The sequence below is a fragment of the Homo sapiens genome, chromosome 14 (assembly GCF_000001405.40).
Source record: "Homo sapiens chromosome 14, GRCh38.p14 Primary Assembly".
Lineage (NCBI taxonomy): Eukaryota > Metazoa > Chordata > Mammalia > Primates > Hominidae > Homo > Homo sapiens.
Window position 1 is genome coordinate 64,338,923 of NC_000014.9, and position 8,981 is coordinate 64,347,903.

Sequence of the window (8,981 nt, forward strand, 5' to 3'; positions counted from 1 at the left end):
TCCCTACGTTGAAGTCGTCTCCCTCCGTCCCCGCCCTTACTTCCTTTTCCCTTAAGGACCTCGCGCGCGCTTCCATATTCAGAGGGGCGCAGGCGCGGTAGCGCGGCCTCCCGAGCTGTTGTAAGCACCAGGTTGCGGTGGAACGTGCACCTTCAGTTGGGCTGCACGGAAAAGTGGTCTCCGCATAAACAGTTGCACTTGCCCCTAGGGAATGTTGGACCACAGGAGGGGACCTGAAGTACGATGTACAGGCCCTAATGGTCCCTCTGTATGGAAGCGAACACTTGCAGGGGAGGGGCCCAGCGGGATAGGCCGGGAACAAGGAGGCAGATCTCAGCCTGCCACACCTGAAGACAAGTACCTTGCAGCTGAGGAATGGGGCCCCAAGCAGAATTTTACTGTTGGCTGTGCCCCTGGCTCCTGTTCTGGGGCAACAGACTCCTTTATTTGACCAGAAAACATTTCTGCCAGCCTACTTGTGGCTGCCTGAAACCCCATAATTCAGAAATCCAGGCCACGATTTCTTTCTAGTTTTGAGATAAAGAAAATTCGAGTTTAGTGAGGTGACAAGACTTGATCAAGGGTTGCAAGACTGATTAGTGACGGATGTTCAACAAGAACCAAGTTCTCCTTACAAGCCCATTGCTTTCTCCACTGTTAGTGTATTACCATTTTATTAGTGGAACTCCATGCTCTCCCCTATTTGCCATCTCCCAGTCCTGGTCCTAGAGTAGTAGTTGTTGTTGTTGTTTTGTTGTTGTTGTTGTTGTTTTGAGACAGAGTTTCACTCTTGTTGCCCAGCTGGAGTGCAATAGCACGATCTCGGCTCACGGCAACCTCCGCCTCCCAGGTTCAAGCGATTCTCCTGCCTCAGCTTCCCAGGTTGCTGAGATTTACAGGCATGCGCCACCACGCCTGGCTAATTTTGTATTTTTAGTAGAGACGGGGTTTCTCCATGTTGGTCAGGCTGGTCTCCAACTCCCGACCTCAGGTGATCTGCCCGCCTTGGCCTCCCAAAGTGCTGGGATTAACAGGCATGAGCCACCACGCCCAGCTCCTAGAGTTACTTTCTAGTTTGGCCTCAGAAAAATTCAGCACTCCAGTTGACCTCTCCCTGTCCAACCCCAAATGAGATCGAATGCTTAACTAATGGATCTGATTGCCATACTTAAGCCACCATTGTTCATTTGGGTAGTTTCCAGTTTCCGGCAATAATGAACAATGCCACCGTTAGTAATATTGTAAATGTCTTTGTATAGAATATGCACACATTTCTGGCCAGGCGAGGTAGCTCACGTCTGTAATCCCAGCACTTTGGGAGGCTGAGGCGGGCAGATCACCTGAGTTCGGGAGTTCGAGAAATCAGCCGGACCAGCATGGAGAAACCCTGTCTCTACTAAAAATACAAAAAATAAGCCAGGTGTGGTGGCGCATGCCTGTAATACCAGCTACTCTGGAGGCTGAGGCAGGAGAATCACTTGAACCCAGGGGGCAGAGGTTGCAGTAAGCCAAGATCGTGCCATTACACTCCAGCCTGGGCAACAAGAGCGAAACTCTGTCTCCAAAAAAATAATAAAATTTAAAAATTTAAAAAAGAATATGTACACATTTCTGTTATATATGTTAAAAACAAGTAGTTTAGACAGTTCCTCTTCAAAGAGTTTCACTTTGTTACAAACAAGGTATTCTTCTCCAAGAGGTCTTTACTTCCTTGTACTGTCTGTCCTGAAGTCTTATTTCTCTGTTCTTTGTCTACAGTAATCTTGCCTGCCAATCTATCAGCCCCTCCCATCCTGCTGTGCTCAGGCAAGACAGCCAAGAAATCACCCCCTCCCTGCTGTAACAGCTTTCCCAGAAAAATTGATCTTCCCACCTTCCCACTTGAAAACCGCATTCCTGCACTTTTCAAGTTAGCCAACCAGGTTCAGCTTAGATCGTGTGGTCCAACTCCAGCCAATGGAGGCAAGACGCAGTAACAGGGACAAGCTGCATTAGAGATAATAAAACCCCCTGCTTTCCTTTGTTTGTGCGTCCTCTCGTGGCAACCAGACCTACGAGGGGCACCCTCCTGAAAGAGTAAATTTGCCTTGCTGAGAAAATTTATATTCGAGTGCTATTTTCTTTTATTTTGTGGCACTGAAAAATTTGCTTCTAACATGTATGTAGAAGTGGGACTACGTCTTCATAAGGCATGCATGTATTCAATTTTAGTAGATGCTAACTACAGCAAGCAAAATAATGGGTCCCCCAAAATATCCTTGTCCTAATCCCTGGAACCTATGAGTATATTAGGTTACATGGCAAAAGAGAATTAAGTTTACAGAGTTTGCCAAGAGGTGGCCTTAAAATAGGGAGAGCATTCTGGATTGTCCAGGTGGGCCCAACTTAATCACAAGCACCCTTAAAAATAGAGAAGAGGGAGGCAAGAGAAGGAGAATCAGAGAAATTGTAGAATCAGATAAAGAACCAGAGAACAGTAGCTGTGAGAAAGACTGGATGGGCCTGATCAATTCCTACTAGTTTTAAAGATGGAGGAAGGAGGCAATGAGGCAAGAATGTGGGTAACCTCTAGAAGTTGGAAAAGGCAAACAAATGGATTTTCCCCTTTCCAGAAGGAACACACCCTGTTGACACTTTAATTTTAGCCCAATGGGACCTCTAGAACTGTAAGATAATAAATTTGTACTGTTTTAGCCACAAAGTTTATGATAATTTGTTACAGCAGCAACAGAAAACTCGTACACTGCCAGTCTTCCAAAGTAATTTTATCAATTTATATACTTAAGGAGCTTTGAAAAAAATATCCATACTTCAGCCTCATACCACAAACTGAACTGGAATCTCTGGATAGGCCTAGGAAAAAATAATTCCTTAATTAGGTCATTTCATAGCATCTTGAAGGTTGAGAATCATTTATCTAAAGCCTTAAATCTAAATCCAATTCTTATCATTAAAGAAGAGTGTGGCAGTGATTTGGACACATGATTAAAAGCTTTTCTAGGAAACAGTGTTCCAGGTCCTTGAAGGATCTCCCCTGTTTGCTCAGAGTTAACACAGCTAACGTTTTGCACTGCCCCATGATTGAACAATCAGTTCCTACTAACACAATTCATAAAGGAGCATTAACACTAAGCCCTCTTTGTTTTTACAAGAGATTTTTCTTTAATATGCTCAGAAAGTGGCTCTTTCAGAAACTGGCCCACCTTAACACCTTGGCCTTCATGGAGAGCTTGGCTGTAGGAGCTGGTAGGGCCTCCATTTCCTGAGAGAAGGGTGTCCTGGAAGGAGGAGAGGGTCTGCCTGTTTCATGCCCAGGCTCCTGTGTGCTAAGGCTGCAGCAGGCAGATGACCCTTGGGCCGTGGCTCTGGGGAAATTCTGAATAAGAAGGTGGTTCTTACAGCTTGAGCAGGCTGGGCTGCAAGTGGAGGCTCTGGTCAAGGTGTCCCTCACTTTTCCTCTTTTGCTAGGCTGGTGATATTATTGAGAGGAAGGATAAGCAAGTTTCTTACATTGCAGCCAGGGATCCTAGAATCTGGGGAAAGAGCCTCCTTCCCCAAGTTTGCAGCACAGCTTCTTTGGTAGCGATACCACTAACTACTGAAGTTCACTCGGCAACAAATTTATAAATCCTGAGAAGCCTTGGGCAGTTTCTATCACAAAGGTATGTCATCAAAAAGAATGAAGGGTGATGTAATGTTGAAGCTAGTATCCATGTACCTTCCTGACAGATGTCAAATATTACAGTGCTTCCCTTTAAAATCAAAATATTTAGGCTGGGCACGGTGGCTTATGCCTATAATCACAACACTTTGGGAGGCTGAAGTGGGTGGATCACCGGAGGTCAGGAGTTCGAGACCAGCCTGACCAACAAGGTGAAACCCCGTCTCCACTAAAAATACAAAAATTAGCCGGGCGTGGTGGCAGGCCCCTGTAGTCCCAGCTACTCAGGAGGCTGAGACAGGAGAATTGCTTGAACCTGGGAGACGGAGGTTGCAGTGAGCCGAGATTACGTCACTGCACTCCAGCCTGGGTGACACAGCAAGACTCCATCTCAATAAATATATAAATAAAATCAAAACATTCCATGGCATGCTGAGATCCTTACAGTGCACCAGTGTGCCTTGGCACACAGTTTGGGAATCATGGCTGTGGCCATTTGGAAAGTGATTCTCATTTATCCCTTGAATGAATATTCAAGATAATTATTTTGTTCCAAAATGGTACTTCTGTAAGGTCCAGTATAATCTCACCCCGCCCATGCTGAAGAGCTCTCTAAAACAGGCATCGAGTCCCACAGGCCTGTCCAGATTCTGACTTGTTCCCACAGAGGATATCTTGGGTACATCTAAAACTACCTCGGAAGGTGAGCAGTTTCCATTTTTATTTTAAATTTTAAATTTTATTCATTTATTATTTTTTGAGACAGAGTCTCACTCTGTCGCCCAGGCTGGAGTGCAGTGATCTTGGCTCACTGCAACCTCCACCTCAGCCTCCTGAGTAGCTGAGAATAGTTTCTTGAAAGTCACTAAGCTACAAACAACCATTACAGAAATCAAGATATGTTATTAGTTTGGGTCACCCAGGTATTATGTACAAAGAATTGGTACTAGAAATTTAGTCTTATTAAACATTATTAAATGTAATATATTCTACTTTCAAACAATATTTTTAAGCTAGAAAAATGGTCTCTTCTATTACAATAACTCTATTTAAAATTTCCTTTGCATTTAAATTTTTTCTTGCTTTTACACTTTTATAGAGTAAACTTAATTTTATTGCTGCTTATTTTGTTATTTTTCATCCATAAGGTAATTACGTTTTGGACTTCTGATTTGCTGAATGATAATACCAGTCCCCTAAAAACACATTTTTCTACCCATCCTCCAAAAACCATAGTGATCAACACGGAGATCAAATAAAAACTACCTATAAATCATGCCTAAAGCAAAACTAGAGAATACCACAAACTTCAATTTGCATGTTAGTGGGGAAATAAATATTCTAAACCAGCAGAGGCAGCTACAGAGGAAGGTGCAGCTAATTTTCACTGGTGTAGAACACAGACAACCTTACCCCCAGAAACAAGACAGATCATAAATGGTGAAATACCAAGAACAAATCTGAGATCTGGTGGATCAGAACACTGACAAATGAAGGAAAAGCAAGGGTCTTGGAAGCACATGAGACCAAAAATGGCAGTTGTAGAGGGCAAGGTTTCTGAGGGGAGAGGGAGGTAGTTGTGTTCCTTGGAGGCTTGGTAATAAAGGAAAAGAAAAAAGCAAACAGTGGAAATTAATATGTTTATACAAATGAGACAGTATTACAGAATCAGACATCATATAAACCCTCACTCCCAAAAAGGCTTGATCTAGTAAACTTTAGAAACTGCACTCACTGTGCCAACAGAAGAGGGTAGTATTGAGCTAAGGAACCTAGTGAGTAAGCCCTGCCTCCAGCTACCCTAAAGTAGAAACATCTGAAGACCAGAGCAATTCAAGGAATTTGAAAGTGAATACAGACAAATGGCAAATTATATTCACATAAAATTACTTTAAGAAGAAAATAGAAAGACACTATCATCTAAACTGTTCAGGCGATGAAAAAAAAAATACTCCCAAAAGACAGCCATGGGCCGGGCATGGTGGCTCACACGTGTAATCCCAACACTTTGGGAGGCCAAGGAAGTTGGATCACCTGAGGTCAGGAGTTCAAGACCAGCCTGGCCAACATGGTGAAACCCCATCTCTACTAAAAATACAAAAATTAGCCGGGCATGGTAGCACTGCCTGTAATCCCAGCTACTCAGGAGGTTGAGGCAGGAGAATTACTTGAACCCAGTAGGTGGAGGTTGCAGTGAGCCGAGATCATGCCATTGCACTCCAGCCTGGGTGACAAGAGCGAAACTCCATCTCAAAAAAAAAAAAACAAAAAACAAAAAAAAAAACACAGCCGTGAAACACAGGACAAATATTTGACACAACACCCCTGAAAAAAATTAAATATCAATTTTTAAAGGATTTGCAAAAATGGGGGGAAAAACTTTATTTTGAATCAGAAATGTAATAATTCAGAATAGTCCAAGATATCTAGATGTGAGAGTTGAACTCAGGCAAGAAAACACTAAATCATCTAAAAAGTGAAGAGTGAACTACAAGGTGACCAAAGGAAAACAGATTTGACTGAAAATAAAATAAGGGACTAGACACGGTGGCTCACACCTGTAATCCCAGCACTTTGGGAAGCCAAGGCAGGAGAATTGCTTGAGCCCAGGAGTTTGAGACCAGCCTGGGCAACATGGTGAAACCCTGTCTCTACAAAACATACAAAAATTAGGTGTGGTGGTGGCACGCCTATAGCCCCAGCTACTCGGAAGGCTGCAGTGAGAGGACTGCTTTAGCTCAGGAGGTCGAGGCTGCAGTGAGCCATGAGCATGCTACTGCACTCCAGCCTGGGCAACAGAGTGAGACTCTGTCTCAAAAAATAAAAGAGAGGAATAGAAACAATCAAGAAAGTGAACACACAGAAGTTAAAGAGAGAAAAAAGTGAAAATGCTAATATCATGACTTTATGTTTTAAGCATATCTTAAGGTATAAGTTTCATAAGCAACTAATATATGGAGAAGTGACATATAATTTAAAAATTGCCCCAGATGATCAGTTGGCCTTTAAAAAATTCTCTCGAAATATTTGCTTTATAAGTATAGTGAAAATCTAAGCAAGTTAAGAAGCACTACTATATTCTCCTAGACAGTGACACAGAAAGTGACACACATGGTTTCCCCTGAGCTTCACATGATGACACATGATGTCATAGAACTCTACACTCCTGGTCACTTGTTAGAGTATATAAAATAATCATATATCCCATCCCTAGCCACTGTGGGTTTAGCAGGGATAAGCACTTGACCTAAACTGGGTCAATAAGACCTTTTCTTGGGATTCTCTCTCCTGTCACAGAAACTCCATATAAATCTCCATGGTTGCCAGTGATCATGTTTCCTGTCATGGAGAAAACCAACCAGCAGTCAGACAGATGAGCTGACACATAGATGCCAAGAAGTGACCATGAGAAAGGGCTTGTAGGTTCCAGGTGCTGATCCTGGGGCCCAGGTGTATCTCCGCCCACCTGGAGGTTAGGTTGTTTAACTCATGATTCCATAAGCCAATATTCCCTTTTGTCAAGTTAGTTACAGTCTAAGTAGGCGTGGGTGTTTATCACTTCAACTAAATTAATTTTAATTTTACTATTTTGAAAAAACCTCTTGTTCTTGTCCTGATACTTCTTCAGGTGCGCTCTTTGCTGTTGGGGGCTCAGAAGTGACAGCATCTAACATCTGCTGGGTCTTCTCTTTGTCTGATCTTGCCTTTTGCTCTGCAGAGTCTAATGTAGTTTTCAAGTTTTCTGTTTTCACAACTGCCTTCTCTTTCATCGTTTCAACATTTGCCTTCTCTTTCATCCTTTCAACATTTGCTAAAGATTGCCTGAGCTCTTCAATTGTTTTGTCCTGTGACAGCATATAAGATGGGGGAAAGGAAGGAAATAACTAGGATTAGATCTCTTCTAAATAACAGTTATGATAACTCTTGCTTCTTTTCCTTTTCTTTCTTTTTTTATGAAGACAGAGATATATGGAAAAGAAAAACATTCCAAAATTTCTGAATTAAGAGGACATTTCTCCATGATCGTGCTCATCAATAACTATTACTTAGCACTTTTATTAACTGGCCACTTGGGATTTAAAGAGTCTTAACATGTTTTCTGCATCCTCAAAGGTCTTAAAGCCCTACATTAATCAAATACAGAAATACAGAAGATAATTGGCATTTCAGTAAGAGAAATATTGCTGATAAACTGGCATATCAGTTGATCAGTTATTTAGTGCCTGTTTGGCTTAAGGCATAATTTTTGAAATAGTATAACTGAAGTTTGATATGGAGAAGGTCCAAAGAAGAGTCCCCAAAATGACTACAACTTTTAACTATTACCCCAATAAGAGACACAAGTGAAACTAAAACAAAAAACAGACTGGGTGAGGTAGCTCACACTTGTAATCCCAGCACTTTGGGAGGCCAAGGCAGGCAGATCACTTGAGGTCGGGAGTTTGAGACCAGCCTGGCCAACATGGTGAAACCCTGTTTCTACTAAAAATACAAAAATTAACTGGGCATGGTGGCACGCGCCTGTATTCCCAGCTACTTGGGAGGCTGAGGTGGGAGGATTACTTGAACCTGGAAGGCAGAGGTTGCAGTGAGCCAAGATCACGCCACTGTACTCCAGTCTGGGTAACAGAGCAAGACTCCATCTCAAAAAGAATAATAATAATAAAACAAAAAACAAGGGATTTGTAATAATAACACTTAGAATACAAGGAGGAGGATATATGGATATATGGGGGTTTCAATTGTATTGGTAATATTTGTTTCTTAAAATGAGTGGTGAATTCCAATTTTATTCTATATGCTTAAATATATATTCTTTTGTATGTATGTAAAATAATTTTAATATTAATTTTTTTAGCTTCAATGAAAAGCATGCTGCTAAAATGGTAAAAGACCAAAGCTTTAGTGAATTTCTGAAAGCCTCACTTCCTTTACTTACTTTAAGGACATTTACTCTTGTCAGCTGAGTTTTCATATTTTTATTTGACAATTTCAAATCACTGAGCTGTCTCTGAAGTTTCTGAATTTTCTCCTCCAATCTTTGCGTAGTAGCAATCTGCAAATTCTGCCAAATATTCAATAACATTTGTTTTGTTGCATGTTGTCTTTCTCTAGCTTTTTGAACTTCTTGCTATGCTTGTCTATCTGGGAATGCTTAGTCCCTGAGTTTTCCTTTGCAGAAATCAACAGTATTGAAGTAAAAAATTGTGCTTTAAGATGTTATTATACACTAGCATAATACCACATCCACTCCAGACTAACACACTGCAGGCTTAACAATACTTCCATAAGTAAAATATTTTTCACCATAAATAAGCAT

General features: G+C 41.6%; 1 pseudogene across 1 annotated transcript, besides 3 other annotated features; it reads right to left on the reverse strand.

The window, feature by feature from the left end:
- Positions 54-736: an enhancer, noted in NCBI's record as "H3K27ac hESC enhancer chr14:64805694-64806376 (GRCh37/hg19 assembly coordinates)". NCBI's record gives its function as "activates a minimal SCP1, AML or CMV promoter by ChIP-STARR-seq in primed H9 embryonic stem cells {active_cell/tissue: H9 hESC(primed)}" and the evidence as "EXISTENCE:reporter gene assay evidence [ECO:0000049][PMID:30033119]".
- Positions 236-285: an enhancer, noted in NCBI's record as "active region_8527". NCBI's record gives its function as "activates an Ori minimal core promoter by ATAC-STARR-seq in GM12878 lymphoblastoid cells {active_cell/tissue: GM12878}" and the evidence as "EXISTENCE:reporter gene assay evidence [ECO:0000049][PMID:35858748]".
- Positions 356-415: an enhancer, noted in NCBI's record as "active region_8528". NCBI's record gives its function as "activates an Ori minimal core promoter by ATAC-STARR-seq in GM12878 lymphoblastoid cells {active_cell/tissue: GM12878}" and the evidence as "EXISTENCE:reporter gene assay evidence [ECO:0000049][PMID:35858748]".
- TEX21P (testis expressed 21, pseudogene) lies at positions 6,551-8,689 on the reverse strand (annotated as a pseudogene). Its single transcript, NR_033777.1, has 2 exons — positions 8,601-8,689; positions 6,551-7,506 (listed from the first exon to the last, which is right to left on the reverse strand). The product of NR_033777.1 is annotated as a testis expressed 21, pseudogene (transcript).
- Between the last annotated feature and the right edge of the window lie 292 nt (positions 8,690-8,981).